The 25,507-nt window shown below is 37.2% G+C and overlaps 1 protein-coding gene across 11 annotated transcripts in view; it reads left to right on the top strand.

Moving 5' to 3' along the window:
• Positions 1-25,507, top strand: part of COL14A1 (collagen type XIV alpha 1 chain) — a 249,120-nt gene that overhangs the window by 19,714 nt on the left and 203,899 nt on the right. For 8 of the 11 annotated variants that reach the window (NM_001413490.1, NM_001413491.1, NM_001413493.1 and 5 more), the window contains 4 exons: positions 3,639-3,763; positions 13,963-14,079; positions 18,259-18,402; positions 23,994-24,080. In NM_001413490.1, the coding sequence (NP_001400419.1) occupies positions 3,676-3,763; positions 13,963-14,079; positions 18,259-18,402; positions 23,994-24,080 (436 nt within the window). In that variant the 5' untranslated portion in view covers positions 3,639-3,675. The remainder of the gene's footprint in view (positions 1-3,638; positions 3,764-13,962; positions 14,080-18,258; positions 18,403-23,993; positions 24,081-25,507) is intronic. The other 3 variants (NM_001413498.1, NM_001413495.1, NM_001413497.1) reach the window with 1 other exon arrangement.

A 25,507-nucleotide genomic window follows, 5' to 3' on the forward strand; every position in this document is an offset into this window, starting at 1 on the left:
GAAACAATCTTGAGCTGTCTCTCTTGTTGTTCAAGAATATAAAAAAACAGTAGCTCAAATGTAGTATCATTATTAACGGAATCTTATTTAAAGAATGATATGTCATTACTATCTCTATTTGAAAATGGCTTGGCCTGAAAGCCAAAGCCATTATAATTACATTAATGTTTAAAAAAAGCGATAATTGCCATAATAGGTATGAATTATTTCTATATTTCAAAGATAGATTAATGCTAGACATATCAAAATATGTTAACTACACTGAGAGGTCAAGATGAAATACGGACATTCCAATGAATGAATTGTCATAAAGGCAAGGTTCAGCATCCGTTCTTGATTTAAAAAAATTCTTAGTAAAAAGACAAGAACTTTTAAAAGTTTGACATAACATATCTGAACTCAACTACCGTTAATATTCTTAATGGTAAAATATTTCAGGCATCCCTAGCAAAATAATTGTTTTTAAACTACTAACCTATACAGTAAGAAAAAACACGTCGATTGCAAACAATGCAGTTGTCAACTTGGAAAATCCAAGAGATTAAACTGAAAAAAATATAAAGGTAGCAAGAATTCAGAATGGTGGTCCATTAATATATAAAATCAATATCTTTTCTATATTAAAAACGAATCTATCAGATAACAGTGTTGGAAAGAGTCCATTAATAACAGAAACTAAAAAGTTAACTAGAAATATACTTTGGGGTAAGAAAGGCCATTTTACCCATGACACTGAATTAGAAACCATAAAGAAAAAGATCAAGTCAGATTTCTGACCTTAAAAAAAAAATCTTAACCCAGTAAATGAAATTGTCAGGCAAAAAACAAACTGGAAAAATACTAAGTATATATGAGTTAAAATTAACATATAAAGAGTTATTGTAGATCAATAAGAAAATGGGTAAAAGTCATGAACAGTTATTTTGTTTAAAAAAATTTAAATAGCCAACAAACACCAAATGTCACATTTTACTGGTTATGAAAAATCTGATTAAGATGCTAATCCCATTTTACCTGTAAAATCAGAATATATTGAAAACAACCTCTGTGATGGTGGAAGTGTTGTGACCTGGTGTTCATATGAGATGCAGGTGGAAGTGGAAATCAGTGTTATTTTCTGTAGAGCATTGTGTACCTATATTAGAAAAACCTTAAAAACATGCATCTTGGGCTGTGTGAGGTGGCTCAGGCCTGTAATCCCAGCACTTTGGGAGGCCAAGGCGGGTGGATCACCTGAGGTCAGGAGTTTGAGACCAGCATGGGCAACATGATGAAATCCCGTCTCTACTAAAAATACAAAAATTAGCCGGGCGTAGTGGCACGTGCCTGTAATCCCAGCTACTTGGGAGGCTGAGGCAGGAGAATCGCTTGAACCCAGGAGGCAAAGGTTGCAGTGAGCAGATCGCACCGTTGCACTCCAGCCCTGGGGACAAGAGTGAGACTCTGTCTCAAAACAAACAAACAAACAAACAAACAATGCATCTTGTTTTGCCTAGCAGTTCTACAATTGGGAATTTAGCCAAAGTAAATAAATCATATATTAAAAGAGATGTGAATTAGGATGTTCATTGTGGTGTTATATGTATAAACGAAATTTGGAAGCAATCTGTATTTCCAAATAAAAGTAGGTAAATAAGTTGTGATACCGCATATAGTAAAAGGGCATTTACTGTCATCAGAATACACTTGAACAAGAAAATAATAACAAAAGATGTATTGTTTTTGTTGTACTTTGTTGTAGTCTGAATTTTTCACTGTTAAAACTCTTTGTTTTTGTAAGCAGAACAAGGTATTTTTAAAGTGGAAAGAAAGTGATGTGAAGGCTGATCTTGTAGAAATGTTTTCCTAAGATGCTTCTACCATGTCTGATCATGTCTATGTGGTTAAAATCCTGGCTCCTGAACTCACTAGCTCTGTGACTTGGGCAACTTCTCTGTGCCTTATTGTCCATCTGTAACTATGTATTAGAATTGTACCTACTTCAAAGAGTTGCTGTGAGGATTAAAGGAATTTATATGTGTACTTGGAGTAGTCTTTACATACAGCAAGGGCTCAATACATTTTATGGTTAATAAAGTAAGATGACTTTTTGGTGTGAACCATGGGAAAACTTCTACTCAGCTTTCGGTATCAGAAAAAGCTATGCATCTCCTGAAAAATATGTTTTAGTTAATCTAAAAATATAGTAAGCTTTAAAGCTTATTATGCTTCCTTCTTGCTTAGCTGCTAATTCATAAATTTTTAAGCCAAATTCAGCAACTATACCTTACTATAGTAAGGTATACCTTAACTATCCTTTACCAACTATACAGGACCAGATACATTTTCTCTGTGCTCATTTAACTCATTACTTTATTGTTTTATCACCAAAATTTCCCCTTATACTAGGATTGCTGGATCAAATATATGACACTCAGTTAAATTTTAATTCCAGATAAACAATGATTTTTTTAAAAATAGTGTTTTTCAACTATTACATAGAACATACTAACATTAAAAAATCATTTGCTATTTATCTCAAATTAAAATTTAACTATAGTCCTGTATTTTACCTGTGAAATTTGGCACCGTTATCTGATCCATTATGTTTATTTATTATTTAGTTGCTTCAGATCCTTTGTGGGATAATACTGGGAAATGAATAAACGAATATATAAATGAAAAAATGAATTAAAAAATATGCCCTGGGTAGAAGAAAACTTTGGAGATATTTCCTTAATCTCTGAGGGAAGGATTTCAGAATTTCTCCTCTGTAATGACCTAGTAATAGAATTGTAATCTACAATTTGTAGAATGGTCTTTTAAATTAATACAGAACATTCATTGTTTTTTCCCCTCCAATTCTGCCTCTCTCCCTTTCTCCCTCCTTCTTTCCTTTCCCTTTCTTTCCCTTCTTTTTCTAAAAGTTTTTTAATGTTAAAATTTTTATTATTAATTATTATAGATACGTAATAATTATACCCTTTCTTTTTTCTTCTTCATTTTCTTGTCTTCCATTTATCGTCCTTTCTTTCTTTTGCTTGTAGCTCTTCTTTCATTGATATCCCATTGAAAATGAACAATTTGGAAGAGTTTTAGATTCACTTATATTAGGAAAAAGAAGAACTATGAGAAAAAGATGAAAGGATTAGGGGTTATTCAACCCAGTGAGGGGAAGTCTGAGTACAAAGTGGTTTTTCAAATTCTCTTGGATCACCAGTAGAAAGGTCCTATATATTTGTTCTTTGTAGGCAATATAAGACAACAGTAGGAGTTTATGTGAACTTTATGTGACAAATATGGGAGGAACACATTACTGGCAAGGACATTGGGATTGATGATAATGCTAATTTCAGGTAAAATTATGAAATTTATCCACTTGGGAAATTCACTATGCAATTTATGTCCATAGGGAAGAGTCACAAAGTACATTCTGAAGTTCTCTTCCAAATATTTCAAATCATTCTGTCCATTTACAGCACCTTCTAAAAAGTCTTTTCCTCATCAGTTTGTATTTTAGAGTGAAATGCACGATGCTCTAGGGAATTAATTACTTCCTGACAATACTAATCCATGTTGGCTTATTCGCCTGTCCTAAATGATTACATATACTTTATTTTCAGCCTTCTCAAAAATGTTCCTGTTCTCTCTGTTTCTAGGTGGCTGCTACACCCCATGTAAAAAGCGGAAAATAAAATGAAGATTTTCCAGCGCAAGATGCGGTACTGGTTGCTTCCACCTTTTTTGGCAATTGTTTATTTCTGCACCATTGTCCAAGGTCAAGGTAATTGAAAACTTTGAGAATCAGTAGGGTCTGGGACTCTAGCTTTCTTGTTTCTGATTATCATTTTATTTTATTTATCCTAACAATATGTCGGCTTTTACTGAGTTTTACCAACTGTTTGCACTGTAGAAATATACACATCTTTGATGAGGATTACAACCTCACCAGTGACTGAGCATAGTGATTTTGTGGCAATTGGTTAAATAGGTCATTCTTTTTTTTTTTTTTTTTTTTGAGTCAGAGTCTTGCTCTGTAGCCCAGGTATGATCTTGGCTCACTGCAACCTCTACCTCTCAGGTTCAAGCAATTTTCCTGCCTCAGCCTCCCAAGTAGCTGGGACTACAGGCATGAGCCACCATGCCTGGATAATTTTTGTATTTTTAGTAGAAACAGGGTTTCACCATATTGGCCAGGCTGCTCTCGAACTCCTGATCTCGTGATCTGCCCACCTCGGCCTCCCGAAGTGCTGGGATTACAGGTGTGAGCCACCATGCCTGGCCTATTCTTAAAGTGCTTCTGAAAAGCCTGTGCAAGTTTAATCAGTGAAAGTCAAATTTTTATGTTATGATATCAGTTATATTAATAATGCTCTAATAATTAAATTGCTTTATGAATAAAGCCCTATTTTTACAGCTGTATTAATAAAGAACTGTAATGTGAGTGTGTGTGTATCCTAATCATGTCTTGTCTCTTACATAATGTACAGGATATTTCTATCATTTCATACCTGGTCCTTGATTTTGCCCCTTTTCTTAAAAACTGAGCACATAGTCTGAACATTATAAGGGCCTGACAGAGCCTGCCAATATGCCATTTCAAGCATTCCTAATGATTTCTAGCTTTGTTTTAATTAAACTTAATTTGTGAAATCTGCTCTTTGCATTCCTGGGATGGGAACTTTTATTTTTGATTTCCATTCATTTTTATAAAGTAAGTCTGGGGCTGAAAAACTACCTGTGGGCCAAATCTGGCCCACTGCCTATTTTTATAAATAAAGTTTTAGTGGCGCACGTCATGCACATTTGTTTACATATTGTCTGTGGCTACTTTCATGCTACAGTGACAGAATTAAACAGTCATGACAGAAACTATGTGTCCCGCAAAGCCAAAAATATTTATCTGAAAAGAATGTGCTAACTTCTGAATATGCACAACTGTGCAAAGTGATATTATTAGACAAACATGGGAATCTACAGAGACTGAAGTGTTGGTGATGAAATGTTATTTATCAGCTGAGCAAGGAATTGTAAATGTGATAAAGTGATTTTAGGAATGCTAATGTCTAATGTTTGGCATTGAGGGTTGTAGAAAAGATCAATGCATGAACCACCACACACTGTTTCCTTTAAGGGAGGCGTACCTGTTTGGAAAGGAATGGAACTTGACTTTTTGCATCCACAAATTGCTATTATACACCTGGGGTTAAGGAACTGTATTTCCAACTACTTCATTGAACACACAGCAGGCAGTTTGGTAGACACATTCTGCTTATGTTATTTATGTTGATGAAAGAATGCTTTTAGCTGTGGCAATTAGGAAATTCTAGATCACTTATCTTCTAAACTCCAGGATACAAGACACAGATTCTTAGAAACAAAGGGCGGGCAAGTTGCTAAGCCCTCCAGAGTTGCTATCTCAGTCTAGCATAATTCAGAAGTGGTAATTTGTGGAATAACTGATCATATATAGCTCTTACGGGATACTTTCAAGGATGCTGTCTACCAGATGAATATTGTTAGCCAAATTCTGTTTTTTCATTTTTTTTTTTTTTTTTGAGACGGAGTTTTGCTCTTGTTTCCCAGGCTGGAGTGCAATGGCAAATGGCGCAGTCTCGGCTAACTGCAACCTCTGCCTCCTGCGTTCAAGCAATTCTCCTGCCCTAGCCTCCCAAGTTGCTGGGATTACAGGCATGCGCCACCAAGCCCAGCTAATTTTGTGTTTTTAGTAGAGAGGGGGTTTCACCATGTTGGTCAGGCTGGTCTCGAACTCCTGACCTCAAGTGATCCACCCTCCTTGGCCTCCCAAAGTGCTGGGATTACAGGTGTGAACCATCGTGCCCAGCCACCAAATTCTGTTTTAAGTGAACACTTATGGGGCATATTCTATGTGTCAAGTTCAAGATACAAAGCTAAATAAGACCTATTTATTTATTTATTTTTTGCCTTCAACCAGGTTACTGTGTACTAGGGAGACAGGGCTGTAAGCAAATAAATTGCAATATAAGTTATGTTGGGGGTGAAGTGTGGCAGAGACAAAGATGGAAAGATAGATTGCAGCCAGATTATGGAAGATTTTAAACAACTCTGTTTTTGAGAAAAACACTCTAATAGCAATATCGATGATTCTCATATTTGCAACTCATGGGGGTTTGAGGGATAGGAACAAACAAGTCATGAGAGATCATTAAAATATACTAAATTGTCCATGAAATAGGTGTTGAAGGCTGGAAGTAGGCAATGTGATTAGAGAGAATGCATCTAAGAATCATTTAAGGGGTATAAGAGAGAAAAGTTGTCTGCTGATTATAAGTGGAGACAGACAAAAGATAGGGAAATATTGAAGATAAATCAAGTTTCTTGATGGAGACCTGAGCAGATAGGGTCTTTCATCTTGACCCCTGTGTCATTACTGCTTCTATATCTTTGCATTGTAATTGTTTATTTACCTCAGCTCATAAAAGCCAATAGTTCTCTCTTTAGTGTCTGTATCTCCAGTACAGAGCAATGTTTCAGTCATAGTAGACATTTGTTGAAGAGTTTAAACAAGTAGAAGACAATGAGTTCAGTTTTAGACAAATATATGGAGCTTAAGGTGTCTGTGGGACATTCAGGTGGAGATGGCTGGTAGGCAGTTGGTGGTCTGGAGTTTAGGGAAAAAAGATCAGCGCAGGAGATTATATTCGAATTGTATTTTATTTAGGAATTCACTTATAAGGATTTTTGAAGCCTTAGAACTAGAATTAGGAAGGGATATCAAAGTGGAAAGAGGTGAGGATGAAGTCTGCCAAACATCAATAGAGTTCAATAAGAGTTTAATAGAAGAAAAATGACTGATTGAAAGAGTAAAAAAAAAAAATCCAACATCAATTATAAGGAGAGTCAGGGGAATGTAGTGGATGATAAGTGAAGGCTGGAGAAATTTTCAAGAAGGAAGATGGTGGCTGCACGCTGGGGGAAACCTCAATAAGAAACGCTTTAGAGGCCTTTGGTTTTGCTGATTAGGAAAATATGAGACCTTTGAGAAACCTCATCTTATTTCTACCATTACGCCTCTTATTTACGTGACTGATTTTGAGCAAGGAATAAAAAATATGAATTGCTTTATTGGATTGATTTTCTGCTTTTAAAGCAAATTTAGTAGTGAGTTCCTGTGGGTTGGCCAAATTTGACATTAATTTGCAAAGCCAAATAGACATTTTCAGAGAAAAAAAAATAGTCTGGTGGCTCACGTCTATAATCCCAGCACTTTGGGAGGCTAAGGCAGGCGGATCATGAGGTCAGGAGTTTGAGACCAGTCTGGCCAATATGGTGAAACCCCGTCTCTACTAAAAATACAAAAAATTAGCTGGGCATGATGGTGCGCGCCTGTAGTCCCAGCTGCTCAGGAGGCTGAGGCACGAGAATTGCCTGAACCTGGGAGGTGGAGGTTGCAGTGAGCTGAGATGGTGCCACTGCACTCCAGCCTGCACAACAGAGCAAGACTCCGTCTCAAAAAAAAAAAAAAAAAAAAAGCAAAGTCAGTGTGGTAGGCAGAATAATGTACCTGCAAAGATATTCACATATAATCTTCAGAACTAGTGAATATGTTATATGGCAAGGGGGAATTAAGATGTCAGATTGAATTGTTTGTTAATCAGTTGACCTTAAAATAGGGAGGTTAGCCTGGATTTTCTGGGTGGGCCCAATGTAACTGCAAAAAGTTTTAAATATGGAAGAGGGAGATAGGGCAGCCAGTGTCAGCGGCCAGGTGAGAAAAACTTGGCTGGGTACTGCTGGCTTTGAAGATGGAAAGAGACCACAAGTCAAGGAATGTGAGAAGCCTCTAGAAGTTAGAAAAGGCAAGACAATGATTGATTCTCCCCTACAGAAAGAAATTCAGCCCTTCCGACACCATCCTTTTAGCCCGGTGAGATTGATTTCAAACTTCTGACCCCTAGAACTGTAAGATAGTACATGTCTGTTGTTTTAAGCCACTAAGATTTTGAAATTTATTATAGTAACGATAATCAACGAATATAGCTAGTATTAAAAGACATTCAGTATGGCTCACGTCTGTAATCCCAGCACTTTGGGAGGCAGAGGCGGGCGGATCACGAGGTCAGGAAATCGAGACCATCCTGGCTAACACGGTGAAACCGCGTCTCTACTAAAAATACAAAAAAAATTAGCCGGGCGTGGTGGCGGGCGCCTGTAGTCTGTAGTCCTAGCTACTAGGGAGGCTGAGGCAGGAGAATGGCGTGAACCTGGGAGGCGGAGCTTGCAGTGAGCCGAGATCGCACCACTGCACTCCAGCTTGGGCGACACAGCGAGATTCCATCTCAAAAAAAAAAAAAAAAAAAAAAAAAGACATACAGGAAATTAATTCTTGCTCCTTAATTGCTAATCCACAGAATGTGCTTTACCATTTAGTCTCTCCATGGAATATTTTATGAAAAATGTTCCCTCTCCAGGACCTGTGAACCTACATTGGCTCAAATAACTGTTTAAACCTGGATTATTCCAGCATCTTCTTTTCAAGACAACTTGTTAAATGAACTAGAATACAGAAAAAGTAGTGTGATGGCTGTAGGAGAAAAATGCGTACAGCAATAACAGAGTGATGGGATCCACACTTTCTTGGAAATTTCACAGTAAATATGTACCTGGTTCTAGCGATGTTTGTTTTGGATGGTTACAGGAGGGAGCCACTGAAGGTAAAATAACTCATTTAAAAACCTCGACGCATAGAAAATTGGAGACTTCGCATAGGGGCTAGCTTTAACTTTATAAAGACCTCTGTGTTCACACGTTGACACATATTTCTTGCTGTTAGTAGCCAAACACATTTGAAAAGTTGAGAATATTTTCCTTACAGCTGTTTTCAGCATCTTTATAATGGATCATGAAATTACAACATATGAGGTTCTAAACCACATTAAAAAAAAATCCCTGTAGCATATCCTACAGTAAAAGTCTCTCAAAATTTAATTGCTCCGATTTATAAAACATTTAGGCAGTACATTTAACTGAAAAAAATGACTAACATAAAAAGCTAAAGTTTTTGTATTTTATTTTATTTGTTGAGCCAGAGTCTTGCTATGTCGCCCAGGCTGGAGTGCAGTGGTGCGATCATGGCCTCCACGTCCTGGGCTCAAGTGATCCTCCTATCTCAGCCTCCTGAGTAGCTGGGACCACAGGCCCATGCAACCACACTCAACTGATTTTTGTATATACTTTTTAGAGATGGTGTTTTGCCATGTTGCCCAGGCTGGTCTCAAACTCCTGGGCTCAACGAATCTGCCTGCCTTGGCCTCCCAAAGTGCTGGGATTACAGACATGAGCCACTGTACCCCGCCAATAATCAAAAAAGAATTTTTTTGTTTTTAGATTACTTGGAAAAATAGCCAAATACTTTTCTGCTGTTTAAAAGTCTTTTAAAAATAAATATAATTGGTTGCCCTATCAACTTAGCATCCTAAAATATGTTTTAAAGAGGTAAAAACTCTCAATGTGATTCATGCTGCATTATCTTTATCAGCCAGAAATTTTTGGTTGTGAATAAAATAAATTTTCTCTGGTCAACTAAGCAAAAATGTATTCACCAGTAGGTAATGCAGTAGCTCATATAATCAAAGTAAAAGTAAATAATCAAGCTTTGAAAAGGATAGGAATCTGGGAAATCCTCTGGGATACAGTCTGTAGAAACTAGTGACCATTTTCCTTAGGGCATGTCATTGGAATGACTGGAGTTATTTTCCATCCTTGCATCACTGGAGTCAAGTTTCAGATTCTTGGGAGAGTCTGCTTGACCGGGTTTAAGTGATTTTCCCAGACTTTAGCCGGGGGAGGATGGTTGGCCCTATGCAGTGGGGGAGGTAGTGTTGTTCGTTGGAAGAAAACCAGGATGCTGTCATATAAGGAAGAGGAGATGCGATTATGGGTAGGGAAGAACACAAGATGTCCATTTCAGTGTCCCTATGTAAAAACTAGCGTTTTAATAAACAAATGTGAATATTTTATTAAAATAAGTATCTTTACGTAGATTGTCACTTGACAAAACCGTAAGCGTTCAAATTCAGATGAGAAGAAAGGAAGGAAAGAAGGAGGGAAGAAAGGGACAGCCAAAAGTCAACTCTTTAATGAGTAGATTATGAAACAGAATTTCGTAAATGCTTGATAATAGTGAGGCTTCAATGACATGACATAAACATTTCTCTCCTGCCTATGAGCCTCTATGGGAATGATTGCAGTGGTATTCTTTGAGCTTAAAGAAAATCTTCCTTCACAAACAAAGCACAACACAGCACAGCAGAATAAAAATGCCCCTACACTTTCAGTAACAAGCCTAACTCTGCAGTGGAGTGGAAGATAATGGGTAGCCGCTCCTCAGTCTTCCCCCTCAGTCTCCCTTTGGGATGATGTTTATATATTCACAGATCTTATATCAGGCCTAATCTCATGTGCAATCTCATCTTTTACACTTCACCATGCAAAGGATGAGTCTGTTGGTTTCCTCTGGGCTCTTGGTGTGTGCTGGAAATCAAACTTTACACTTGATGTTCGTCTTTTTTAAAAGATTAGGATTTGAACTGACATAAATTAATTTTTCAGTCAAGTTCATGCAAACGTTTATAATTATTAATGGAAGTTAAGTATATGTTAAAAAAAAGTACTTCCTTTGTGCTTGCAAACAGAAAAATCATGGGTCTGGTATAAAATGTACACAAAGTTTTGTTCCATGAGATAAGAGCAATTATTTCTCCATGGCACTTAAAGCATTTCTGTCAATCCTGCCGCCCTTGCTTTGGCTCCAGTCCCAGTGCCTTCTGAAAGGGGGAAAAAACCTAACTTTGAAATCCACAGCTGTGACCTCAGGCCTCTTTCTTTTTTAACTAGCATTTCTTCTTTTCAATATTTTTTACCCTAAAGGCAAAAACCTAAAGAAAATGTGTATGTTATGTTTAACCAAGATCTCCTTTTGATGACTGTGAGGGTATTTATGCTTCTATAGGCAATAGATGTGGTCTGTTGCTAAAAGGTAATAATGATATTGTTTTTGGCTAGCAGTTATAATGGGAATGTAGACAGTTGAATCATTTGTAAATTAATGAAAGAGTAGAGTATTGATGGATTTGGTCGTTGCATTTGCTTCAACAGTTTTACACTTTGTTTTCTTGAGCAATTGAATGGAAGCCGATGCCACTCTTGGTTCTAGAACACCATCCAGATTACCTGAACATGCTCCACGTTGCCCTCATTTTCTACTGGAGATTTGGAAGCCAAATCTTAGTCTATTGACTAAGAGATGTTGAGGGCTATAAACTCAGATGACATTTAAAGAATAGTAGCATGGATAGAAAATTTAGTAATTTTTAACCTAGGAATCCTGAATGTTGTTTGCTGTTTTGAGATGTCAACACACCTGGAGTGCTAATGGAATCAATGATTCTCTTGGAATTTCCTAGATTGAAGCCTCCATCCTATTTGTACTTTTCCACTTGATGGTTCCCCAGACAGCTTTCTTTCAGCAGCTCATTCATGCAAAAACTTGGGCGATGACATTTACTAGTCCACTGACTTGATTTTACTCAGAAACTTGCATATATTTTTAATATTTAAAAATTCTTACTTTTAATTTTCTTCCATAAGTAATAAGAACCTATCTATTAATAAATTTTCTTCTCAAGTTGATGACTAAGCAAAATAGTAACAGTTTTCTGTTCATCCAAATGTTAGGTTCAGCACCTTCCTCTTCCATTTGAAAAAAGTTATTCTTATGATAAATTTATGCTTTCTCATTAGCCAGAGAAATGTAAACTCTTTCTTCCATTCATGTCACATTGAGAACAGGAAGCTAATGTTTTTATTCAGCATGGCTAGCATTCTCTACTTAGAGATAGTAAAGGACAAATAGAAAGAAAATCTATTCTTAAGATTGTGTCTTTCAGTGCTTACTGATTTCAGATGCTTTCATCTGATTTCATACTGATTTCAGTTTGTGGAGCAGTAAATTCTTCATTCATCTAGCTCAATGAAGGGTGACTTCTTTTTTTTTTTGAGATGGAGTCTCTCTCTGTCTCGTCCAGGCTGGAGTGCAGTAGCCTGATCTCAGCTCCCTGCAGTCTCCGCCTCCTGGATTCAATTAATTCTCCTGTCTCAGCCTCCTGAGTAGCTGGGACTACAGGCGTGTGCCACCACACCTGGCTAATTCTGTATTTTTAGTAGAGATGGGGTTTCACCGTGTTGGTCAGGCTGGTCTCAAACTCCTGACCTCAGGTGATCCACCCGTCTTGGCCTCCCAAAGTGCTGGGATTACAGGCATGAGCCACCCTGCCTGGCCGAGGGTGACTTCTTAATATGAATCATCTTTCAAAGAAACAGTGCATTTCATCTGGGGTCAGAGATTGTCCTTCATCAGTATGTGAACTTGGGCAAGTGCTTTAGTTGCACCTTGGTTCCTTTATCTATAAAATTGGAATAGCAATGTATGTTTCGAAGATTAAGTGAGCTTTTAAGCTGAATCATTACATGAAGTAGGGGAAAGGGAACAAATATTTATTGACTCCCTATTATAATGCATTATATTCATGATATCCATTATCCTATTTAAAGTTGTCATCTCTCCTTTGCAAAAAGTATTGCCATCACCTTTTCTAAAAATAAAGAAACTCAGGTTTTGGAAGAAACAATAACCTGCTCAAGGTTATTAGCTAAGTGGTAGAACCAAGAATGAAACTAACAGCCAAACCCCATGTTATACCCCATGCCTATGTAGGAGAATGTTTGTTTCTTTTCTGTACACTCTGTTTTTTAAAATGAGAAAGAGAGACTGGGCTTAAAAGTGGATAAAAAAGGCTAACTTTTCCATGAAGTATTAACTTTTCTTTTCTAACAAACTAATTTAGAGAGTATGTAATAAAAACGTTCTTAGCTTTTTTGAAATACTGGAACATTTGTGTAGTGTTCCAGAAATGTGTTTTGAAGTTTGAATGACCTACACAAAAAGTAACACAAAAATGAGTACATTTTTGTAAACTGTCAGAAAAGATAAAACATTCTGGGCTGATTCATGACCATGTGCTTTGTATCTTTCTGACAGGTATAAATCAGCTATCCTTGAAAACTGGATCCAAGTTTATAAAACATAATTATTTTACTTGGTCTTGAATGCCTTTACAATCATTTTCTCAAATGTTTTTAAATGAATATCTTATTACCATAATATATCCGTAATAGCCCTCTCAAATTATCATATAATCAAAAATATTGAATTACCAAAGTGAAAAACCTAAGGACAAACAACAGGTCTCAGTAGAGTAGATTATAGAAGCTCACATGTTTCAAGGAGAAAAATTTATCCTTGTAACATAATGAAAGCATTTTACAAAATTAGCTTCAATTATTAAACTAGGCTAGAGTATTACATTCTAACACTTGGTCTTAGTTCTTTGTCATAAGGTCACTACTGTTTGACAAATGGATATCCCTTGGGTAAGAAACAAATGCCTTTAGTTTTGTGTTATCTTGCAAACTGATCAGTTCATTAGTGAGGTTGTAAAAAATAATATATATTATGGCCAGGCGTGGTGGCTTATGCCTGTAATCCCAGCACTTTGGGAGGCCGAGGCGGGTGGATCCTGAGGTCAGGAGTTCAAGACCAGCCTGGCCAAGATGGTGAAACCCCGTCTCTACTAAAAATTCAAGAAAATTAGCCGGGCGTGGTGGCACGTGCCTGTAATCCCAGCTACTCAGGAGGCTGAGGCAGAGAATTGTTTGAACCCAAGAGGCAGAGGTTGTAGTGAGCTGAGATCGTGCCACTGCACTCCAGCCTGGGCAACAGAGCGAGACTCCCTCTCAAAAAGCATATGTATATATATTATATATTTTGAGGCTGATGAAGTCTTTTGTGTGTATTTTTATTATACTACTTTGACTTTCTGATTTAACAAATAGAAGCTTAAATGTTACAATGTTTACATCATTTTTGTTCTTCCTTTTCAGTGGCTCCACCCACAAGGTTAAGATATAATGTAATATCTCATGACAGTATACAGATTTCATGGAAGGCTCCAAGAGGGAAATTTGGTGGTTACAAACTTCTTGTGACTCCAACTTCAGGTAAAAACAATTGACTTTGTTTTGTAGAGCATTAGCAACTTTTCATGCATAGGCAACTAAAAACATGTAGTGCCAAGCATTGTGTTAGGATTTTTTGGAAGCTTTTGGTTTGTTTAATCTTCAGTGTTTAAAATCTTACCCTCTAATCAAGGTAATAATGTTCCCCAAAGAGTAAAGAATGACTCTTGGCTCCAGTTCTTTTTAGACCAAATAATCAGACAATCAACAAGTTTTATTTTCTCTGTTTAGTCATAAAATGAATACTTTGAATTCATTGGAACTTAAATATACAATGCACCTGAATGTCCAATAGTTTTGACTAGTTGAATAAACTATTATTAATTAACTCAATAGAATAATATTCAGCATTATACATTGAAATTAGAAAGGCTAAGTGGACATTGTGAAAATAAGTGATAAGGCAGGAAAAACATAAGTTGAACACATTTTTTGATCATGAATAGTTATTTAAGGATGCTTTAAATTAAGCATCTTTATTTTAAAGATGATACTTAAATGATGCTTAAAGATACTTTATTATTTAAAGAAGCTTTAAATTAAGTGTCTTTAAATAATGAAGTATCTTTCAACATCATTTGGTTGAATTTTTCTTTCTCATATTTTATGTTTTTATTATATGAATATAATAAGCTAAAATAATACAGACCATATAGGGAAATTGCCTCTGCTACATGGTTGTTATGAAGATGAAGATGGGATCAACAACTGGATTGCTTGAATTCAAAACTCGATTCTGTCACTTATAAGTAGTGTGATTCAGGCAAGTTAATGACTCAGTGCCTCAAGTTTCTTCTATACAATGAGCAAACAATATTTGTACCCACCCCATGGAGTTTTCTATGAATTTGCAACTCAAGGTTGATCTGGGATCAGCAGCATTGGCATTACCTGAGAGCTTGTTAGAAATGCAGAATACTGGGCTCTACCCTTGACCTCTTCAACCAGCGTCTGAATTTTAAAAAGATCCCCAGGTGATTCCTATGCACATTAAATTTGGGAAGTACTGGTTGTGAAGACTAAAATAAATATAAAGCCCTTAGAACAGTGGTGCCATATAGTAAGTGCTCAGTAAATGTTACCTATGATTGTCATAAAGATGCTCTCAGGTCCCATTAGTTCTCCAAGGATCCATTTTCACACAGTACATAATAAGTACTTAATAATACATATTTGTATAATATATATTTATGTAAACATAATTATTTTTTCTTTTTATTGGTGATAAAGAGGGTTATATGGAGCTACAAGCCTTTCAGTGGTAGACCTTTTTCCAAAAGATACAGTGAAGGAGACAGATGCTGTATTGTTCATTAATGTGGACGTCTTACTCAACAGTTGACGTAAACATTCAAACAAGACAAGCAGATGAAACACCTGGTTTCTTGCTTGGTCACCAAAAGGCCAAATCTTTTATTTATTTTTTAATTTTTTAAATTTTTTGAGACTGAGTTTCGCTCTTTGTTGCCCAGGCTGGAGTGCAGAGGTGCAATCTCGGCTCACTGCAACCTCTGCCTTCTAGGTTCAAGTGGTTTTCCGCTCTCAGCCCCCTGAGTAGCTGGGATTACAGGTGCCCGCCACCATGCCTGGCTAATTTTTATATGTTTAGTAGAGATGGGATTTCACCATGTTGGCCAGACTAGTCTTGAACTCCTGACCTCAGGTGATCCACCTGCCTCAGCCTCCCAAAGTGCTGGGATTACAGGTGTGAGCTATCACGCCCAGCCTGATATATCTTTCATTAAGAAATATTATCCGTAGACTCATTAGAATGACTTCTGGTTGAGCAATACCAGATGTCCACTTTTCCCATGGTGGCGTACAGAAGTGACTTGCTTATGGAAAACAATATTTGCAAACCTTGTTCAGAGTTTTCATTTTGGAGTATGACTCAGTTATGAAATTTCTTTGATTTTTAAAAATATAGCTTATTTTTTTAAAAATAAGCTATCATGGGAAATTTAAATTTAAAAGATTCTTGAAGATTTATGATTCTAAAGGTCAAAATACAAGTTACTATTTTTTGTTACCTCTGAGAATCCCTCATGTCTGATCTGGAAAGGTAATTTTTTTTCCTTCAAGTGATTGGTAGCTTAACTTTTTTTGATTAATTGCTGATAATACCAAACTATTAAGTACCCCCAAGCAAGTGTTACTGAGGAATCACAGAATTGTAGAAGTGACTTGGGTAGCCTCTGAAACAAACCTTCATCTGAATGCTTCAATCCTCTCTTGAAGAGTGCACCCAAGAAGTAGATGTCTAGTTCTTGCTTAGACATCTCCCATGATAAAATAAAAATTGGGAATGAAAGCAAATTATTTCTTCATAAATGCTAGGTTTATTTTCCACAGTGTTCTTACCGCAGCAACCCAAGACAATCAGTCTTGACAATCTGGTATCTATTTGATTAAACATAGTAAATAAAGAGTAATAAATACATTTAGCTGCAAAATGTTTATAGCTGTTTCAACACTATGAGATATGGTCCAACTATTGTTTCTGCCAGCCTTTCTGAAAGCATGTTCCATGGTATTCTGTAGGATGCTAATAGCTATTATATAGCTAAATAGTTTAATGGTCAAATAAATTTGGGAAATGCTGGTTTAAACAGAGTTTAAAGCTTTTTTTGTTTGTTTGTTTGTTTCAGGAATCTCAAAGCCTTTAATAAAATAATACACTCCATAACTCTCAAAGAGGGACTCTAATATACAGGGTTTGTTTTTTGAGAAACTTTTTTTTAGTGAAACACACATTGTGAAAGATATATTAGGTGCACTTTGTAGTAGATGAGTTTTAAATGACAGAAGTTCCTAAAACCAGATTTAACATCTTGAACATAAACGCACATAAGGAAATGGGTTTTGGCAAGAGAAAGACTCCATTTTGCCCTCCAGTAGCAGGCAGCCCAGATAATAGCAGCATCAAATTTCAGATTTAAAAATATTAATTTTATTGGCATATGATTAAATTATAATCTGTATTATGTTTGATTAATTCAGCAAATTTCAGTCTTCTCTTGCTGGTACTGCTAGAGAGACAGAAGTTTTAAATTAATTTTCCTTTTCTCAGACACATAATTGCAGGCAAAAATTAGAGAAGAAAAGTAAAATTTGGAATTCTGCATAAAAGTTGAGTATTTATCATCAGCACTTTCAAGAAAGCCTTAGATGTCAGTGTAACCTGATGGAGAGGTAATGGGATTTTGAAATCTTTTCATGAACCAAGCCAACTTTTAAGTAGCCAGTCAATGAGTGATTCCTTCAGCATCCTCAGCCATTTGTGGTCAGATTTAAGATAATTAAATTGCTCATGTTTCAAGGATGCTTTGACTCACTTTAGAGAGGCTGTAGAAAAAAATTCCAGTGTAAATAATTACCTTCGGCCTGCCCATATCTCCCCTTCACATTTTTTTTTTGAGGCGGAGTCTCGGTCTGTCACCCAGGCTGGAGTGCAGTGGCGCAATATCGGCTCAACTGCAACCTCTGCCTCCTGGGTTCAAACGATTGTCCTGCCGCAGCCTCCTGAGTAGCTGGGACTACAGACAAACACCACCACGGCTGGTTAATTTTGTGTGTTTTTAGTAGAGACGGGGTTTCACCACATTGGCCAGGCTGGTTTCAAACCCCTGACCTGAGGTGATCTGCCTGCCTCGGCCTCCTAAAGTGCAAGGATTACAGGCGTGAGCCTCCTCACCTGGCCTCCCCCTTCACTTTTAAGTGGAATTCTTTCCTTGAAGAGTATATCTGATGTTGAGGGCTTGCTGTCCTGTAATCTTGTACTATGGCTTTTCCTGCTATATAAAAGCAGTAGTGTGTTATGATGAAATATTTTTGTGAATTTGGTTTTCTCTAATTTCGACAATTGTTAGTTATCTAATGTAAAAAGGGTACAGCTAAAAAGGAAGATGGAAACTATTTTATAATTAGGTGCAATACACATATATACCATTGTATGTATTTTTAAATGTCTTCACCTCTTGATGTATGTAAAAAAATCATGATGTACACTCTAAATATATACACTTTAAAATATATACAATAAAACACATTTCAAAAAATGCCTTTACTGTTTAACACCATAATTGCTAACTAATAAAGTTTCTTAATGTACACAGTGGACCTTATTTCTTAGAACTGATTTATTTTTCTCTTTTATTATAGGTGGAAAAACTAACCAGCTGAATCTGCAGAACACTGCAACTAAAGCAATTATTCAAGGCCTTATGCCAGACCAGAATTACACAGTTCAAATTATTGCATACAATAAAGATAAAGAAAGCAAGCCAGCTCAAGGCCAATTCAGAAGTACGTATTTACAGTTCTCAAAGCACCTCCGCAGGACTCTGTCCCAGCCTTGGATTTGAGTCTGTGATATATATTCTACAACTTAAAATTCTAGATTTTTCAGATTTATAGAGATCCTAGAAGACCTTCAGTCTTACCTTCAACGAATTCCTCTGATCTCTAATACTTTGCTACCCTTCCCTTTCCCCCATTTTGCTATATTCTTACTTATCCTTTATGCTTTAGTTTCCAATGAACTTCTTAACATTGGCTCCTGAACCTTACCCAGACATCTCTCCTATGTGATTTCTTAGCATCTAGAGCTTCCCTTCTGGTACTATAACACCATATTGTAATTGCTTATTTACTTCTCTGTGACCCCTAGAAGCCTGCAAGTTTTGCAAAGACTGTAACTCAATGATTTTTATTTCTCATTGTATCACAGTTGCATATTACAGGCCTGGCATATAATGGGCGCTCCATGAATATGAATGTCTGAATGGATAATGCCTGCATCTCCTCTGTAGGATCCCCAGAAGGCGCCAGTCCAGGCTCTACTAAAACAGCCTATGCAACAGGGAATTTAATTCTTTCCAATTGTTAATCAGTTGACACAGGGACTGTTCTATGCCAGTCTCCATGATAAGCTGATTTGTCAACAAATACAATGTGATAAGTATTGGAGAGAGTACATATAGGACTCTGTGAAGAGAGGTACTCTCTCTGCCCGAGTAATGGGCTGTGGAGAGGATAGGCATGGGAAAGCTTCATGTTTGAGCCAGTTCTCAAATAGTAAATTGGGCATTTGGAGAAAGGATAGGGTGTGCAGAGGACATTCTAAGAGGGAGTGAAAGCTCTGCGATGGTCCAATCAATGTCCACACAGTTCCTTAGGAAGCATTTCCTTAGATTGAGTTTAAAAATGGTCCACACAGGCTGGGTGCGTTGACTCATGCCTGTAATCCCAGCACTTTGGGAGGCCGAGGCGGGCGGATCACCTGAGGTCAGGAGTTCGAGACCAGCCTGACCAACATGGAGAAACCCTGTCTCTACTAAAAATACAAAATTAGCCGGGCGTGGTGGCACACACCTGTAATCCCAGCTACTTGGGAGGCTGAGGCAGGAGAATCGCTTGAACCCAGAAGGTGGAGGTTGCAGTGAGCCGAGATTGCGCCATCGCCCTCCAGCCTGGGCAACAAGAGCAAAACTCCATCTGAAAAACAAAAAATAAAATAAAAAATAAAGATCCACACAGGCCCTGATTCTTCTGTCTCTCAGGAGACATTCATTCATTCTTTTTTTTTTCTGTTGAACAAATGTACGCCACATGCCTACTAAGTGCCAGACTGTTTTCTAGGCACTTGGGCACATGACAAATCCCTGCCCCTATGAATCTTATAGTCTAGTGACCAGAGACTACAGCAACATCCTCTTCCTGAAAGCAGTGTTTCAAATGTGAAGGATAAAAATTTTGTATTGTGAATGCAAACAGAAGAGACCTAGCCTAGTTAACTTTCTGTTACTTCATTGCTAAAACAGACTCTTTTAAAAAACCCAATTTATTATTAAGGACAATTTAAAGCATAATAAAAAATCATCAGAATAGTATAATGAACCCCTAAGTAGCCATCATCTGGCTTCAGCAATTAGCTGCTCAGGGCCAGTCTTATATCTTCTATCTTTCAAACCCTTTGCCTTATTATTTTTTGAGGAAATCACAGACATCATTTCAAGTAGATTTTTTTCTAAATTTTAAACAATAGCTTTTAAAATCCTACCATAAGATGAATCCATAAATCTGTGAGGTGGTGGGTATGGAACTTTTTGTGCAGCAATGTTCTATCTAGATTTTTTACACCCCTTCCCTCCCTTTTTTCTCTTCCTCTTGTTGGTAATATTTTGTGAGACTTATAGGCTGGTGCAAAAGTAATTGCAGTTTTTGCAATTACTTTAAATTGGAAAAATCGCAATTACTTTTGCACCAACCCAATATTTTGTGAATATTTTAAAAATTTAAAAGAAAACACAACTTGGTTAAGTTACCTCTTGAAACTTCTGAACAAAGACATTTGGCAAATTCACCTGTCAGCAGGACATACACATGTTGTAAATGTTACATTCTTTTGAGATTCACTTTGTCTGGGAGCTTTGGAAAAGGTTTTTATGTTAATTTTGGTTTAAATCAGCCTTCTGTCTCATTTTACTGGCACTGCACTTTAGTTTCTGGCCTCCAACATTCCTGCATGAGTTGCTGAAATAACTTCACTTACAGTTTGTGAGAAGCAGTAAAAGGGATAAGGAGAAAAGATTCATCTTTCTCTAGTCTGAGGTTTTGCAATTGATTATTTCAAACATTCCACTGATTGAACAGGGGAAGAAACACAGAGAGTCATATAAATCTTCCCAGGCTACTTCTTCAAAACACATAAAAGGAAATTCATTTGTTTCCATCTTGCTTAACTCTGCTAAGATAGCTGTAGAGAAACAATATAACTTTTAGCCAGATAAATAATATGCAAGCGTGTATGTTTTTAGCTGTGTTATTTTTATTGGCAGGATAGAGGGATTTGTTCTGCCCAAATAGCAGTTTGTAAGAATAAAATGAAAATTGCTTGGATAGCTTTCTTTTCCCTTTTGCATTTCATTTATATTCTTGCTCTCTGTGAGACAGAGCTAAAGCCTAGTCTCCTCTTCCTAGAAAACTTTCGTGGTTGGATCCAGGAAAGTGGTGATCAAGATAAAGCCTTGTGGCTATAGGTTTGCATTTAGTGCAGGGATTTGCATTCTTTATGAGTTCATATTTTGATACACAGTAAAACATAAGAAATGATGTTTGAATTTTTAAGACAGAAAGGAATATCTGATCTAATAGGTATTATGATTCCAAATTTGCCACAAGCAGCTCAACCACTTCCAGCCTCAGTTTCTTCACCTGCAAATGAGGGTGATGATATGCCTATTACTGTGCAGATGAGCTTACTTCACCACGTAGTACAGCATGGTAGCTATTGTTGTCGTAAGAAATACCATTTTGCTTGTAACAATCTATTTTCCAACTGATTTTGCCCCTACATGAGGAAGACATATATATCTTATATGTGACATAGTGGATCAGCTTCCATAATGTCTGTTATTTTTTCTTGTTTATTTATAGACTGCTTTTATAGCTCTGTGTTTTAATTTAGGACCTTTAAATATGGAGGGCACCTCTTCAACGATTAGGAGAGACACAAGATGGAAATAAAGGTTTTATTACTTACAGGTCCTGGGAGTTACATGGTATGCCTGGAGGCCACACCCATGGAGGTCAGGGAGCACATGAAGTGGGGGCACCCATAAGCCAAGGTCTTTAATGGGGTCCAGGGCATTATCCCTGGGTTTCTCTGAGGAGAGTTTTAATTGGGGGATTTGAAGTAAGCAGGCATGAGTTCCAGGAGGTCACACTGTGACTGAGAGGTGGTCATTGTGGCATATCTGCATAGTCCCTGCAGAGAATGAGGGTCAGTGGGGCCAGTCAGGTGGGCTGTGTGCAGCTCTCCCATAGAGAAGTAGAAGGTAGAAATAGATCTAGGAGAGAATAATGAATAATAAGAGTAACTCCCGAGTAGAGACTGGCAGAAACTCCTCTGGAAAGGTGACATTTGAACTAGACTTTGAAAGATGGGCAGGGAGCAGTTGTTTAAGGCAGATATCTGGATTAACCACATTTAGGAACTAGTGCTTTAGGGTATGTTGTAGGACTGGAAACTGTGTCAAGGGTGACTGAGCCTGTTTCTAGTATGAGTAAGTCCAACTTATATTTAAAATGGATGCTGAGGCAACATAAAATTTATAAGAATTCACCACATTCTATGTTGGAAAATTTTTTCTCTTTTAAATGTGTCTTGTCAATCTTTGCCTGCAAATTCCTGCCTTTCTTTGGAAGTCTGACTCAAAACGGAAGTTTCTCTAAGTCTCTACCTCTGAATTTATTACTAGTCTTTCCCAGAGCTATTTCTACCTCCAGCATCACTCAGCACAATCTTTCTCATATTAAAGTGGCAGACATATTTTGTTTTAGAAAATGCAAGTAATTTGGGGTGACAGCCCATGTGTGGGTGGGGTTGAAGATACAGATTTGGAAATTATCTATGAAAAGATGAGAATTTTAATTGTGAGATGGTAAAATTACAGGAGGGTGTAGAGAGACACAAGGCAACCTTAGTATATGATTGTGTTTCGTGAATAGTAATAGAGAAAGAGCCCAAAGAATGCGAATGAAACGGAGTGGTCAAAAGGAGAAAACCAGGATAAAGCCATTCTAACAACTGAGAAAGAAAAGAATTTAAGTGTGTGTGTGTGTGTGTGTGTGTGTGTGTGTGTGTGTGTGTGTGTGGTGGTGATGATGGTGGTGGTGGGGGTGCTCCAAAGTGCCAATGCTTATCAAGAAGTCGGTGAATGAGGTTTTAAAAAATTGTTATAAAAATTTATACATATCAGGATCAAGGTATCTTACATTTTTATTTTTAAAATCTTTTAAAATTTTGTTTTATATCCTGGAATTTAATCTCTGGGTAGCAGAAAGCCAAGGAAGGTTTCTAAGAAAAGGAATAATAGAATTGGAGTGACATGACCTTGGCAAATGACAGATCTCAAACCATTTCAGCAAAGGGATGGAAGACAGTGGAAAGAAAGGGGAGGAGGATGTGATAAAGACAGGATGAATGGAACAATATCCTGGAGAAGGCAGCAAGGGTGGTTCAGAGGAAATCATTGTTTCCCCTATGTAGCTTACCCTTTAATACATTTGCTGATTTCCATGAAATGAATGTAGCAATTAATTGAAATACCTTGGCTCACTTCTGCATTTTCACAGGGTGTTTTATTTGTGCAGAGACCACTGACATTTGGCAGGCTCTTGACTGCTTCAAACAGCCTGAGGTGCTATTTGGCAGAAAAGCAGCTGTGCAGTTTTAAGGAGAGAATGCAGTGGAAAGTTAAGCTAATGGTGTAGGTTGATATGAATTTATTAAAAGGCCAAGGGGCATTTTTTGGTCCTTGAACATTTTCTAATTAAAGCCATAAAAAACTACCATGTATTAATAGAGACCTTTTTTTAAGTTTGAAAAGGAATTATTATAAGGCTCTTCATCTTCTTGTTTTGCTGTTGGAGCAATTCCAAATGAGGCTATTCATGGTTAAGATCTTTCTAGAATGGGGACCAAGCTCATCGGCTAAGTCCAGAGACTTGAAGATCTGGCTTTAACCCCATGCCAGCACTTAACTGGTTTTATGAGATAGGTGTTAGCTTTCTGGTTCTTCATTCCCTCATGTATAAGCTAGGGATAATTATGCTGATTTTACAGCAGTTATGAAGGATTAAATATATGTGACACATCTGCCCATAGTGCATACTCAGCCAAAGTAATTCCTTAAGTGTTTCTGTGTCTTTTCATGTCAAAGTTGAGAAAAAACAAAACAAAACAGCAGTTCTAATATTTGGGGATGAGTTTGTACCACGGAGCTCATTTCTATAGATACTTTTAGGGCTTTCAAGGGTTTTAGTAAAACTCACTGAATATTTTCTTTTAGATTTTAGTATAACATGGTGCTGTATCTCTACTTTTCTTCCAGTTAAAGATTTAGAAAAAAGAAAGGATCCAAAGCCCAGAGTCAAAGTTGTGGACAGAGGAAATGGGAGTAGACCATCTTCACCAGAAGGTCAGAGACGATTTTAATTAACTCATATTGGGAGTTGGGTTGTTTTAATTACACAGGCAATACTCACATGTGGGGTTGCTGGTCCCATCTAAGAAGGGCAGGTCTAATACGAAGATCGCCTGTGGCCTCTTTGTACTCTTCCTTCCTTTCCCACACAAGATGACCCCCAACCACTTGGCACGTGACCTTTCAGGCACCTTTCTCAGAATGGTGCATATATGTACAGCCTGTCATATTTCTTGTTCTGTGCATACCTTTTCACTTGGAAACCTTTACATGCCAATTCATATAGGAGGCAGGATCACCCAGTGTAAATTGCATGGGCTCTCCCACTTGCCTGCCTAAATTCAAAGCCTGCCTTTACCACTTTGAGTGATCTTATACTAGTTATCCGAATGTCTATGTCTCTATTTCCTTATCTGCAAAATGTGGAGAATGGGATTCAGATCACAGAGTTCTTTGGGATAAAATGCGTTGATATGTGTAAAATACTTAGAACTTTGCCTGCCATTGAATAATGTTAGGTATTATTGTTAGTCTACCTCATTCTTTTTAATAGCCAGATAGTGTTCTATGGGATAGACTATTATAATTTATTGATTAGTCCCCCCAACCCCGTTTTTTTTGAGGCAGGATCTCACTCTGTCACCCAGGCTAGAATTTAGTGTCACAATCTCGGCTCACTGCAACCTCCGCCTCCTGGGTTCAAACGATTCTCCTCCCTCAGCCTCCTGAGTAGCTGGGATTACAGGTGCGTGCCACCATGCCCAGCTAATTTTTGTATTTTTAGTAGAGACAGGGTTTTGCCATGTTGTCCAGGCTGGTCTCGAACTCCTGACCTCAGGTGATCCACCTTCCTCTACCTCCCAAGGTGCTGGGATTACAGGCGTGAGCCACTGCACCCTGCCGATTATTCCCCTTTTGATGGGCATTTAATGTTGTCTAATTTTCACTATCACAAACATGCTGTAACAACGTATTTCTAACTGTGGAACTGCAAGGTTAAAGGATAAGCAAATTTTAGATTGCCAAATTGATAGATGGCAGGCTCTATCAATATCGACTTAAATTTTTTTCAGTAATTTGTACTTCTGTTAACGATATGTAACAGGAATTATTTCATATGTTCTTTTCAACATTTGAAATCCTTAATATTGAAAAAATTCTCCAATTATATATCATTTGTTTAATTTACATCTTTTTGATTACTAGTGAGGTTGAACATTTTTTCATATCTTTAGTAGTCATTTGTAATTTTTCCTGTTTATTTTTGTTTTGTGTTGTCTTTATTTCTTTAATGAACACATAAAAACTTTCTAAATATTTTGAGTATGAAACCCTTTTCTACATATTGTTGTATTTTTGCAAATATTTTCTCCTGGTGTATAATTTGCCTTGCAACTTTATTCATCTTTTTGATAATTTTT

This window comes from Homo sapiens, chromosome 8 (genome assembly GCF_000001405.40).
Source record: "Homo sapiens chromosome 8, GRCh38.p14 Primary Assembly".
In the NCBI taxonomy this organism is placed as follows: Eukaryota; Metazoa; Chordata; class Mammalia; order Primates; family Hominidae; genus Homo; species Homo sapiens.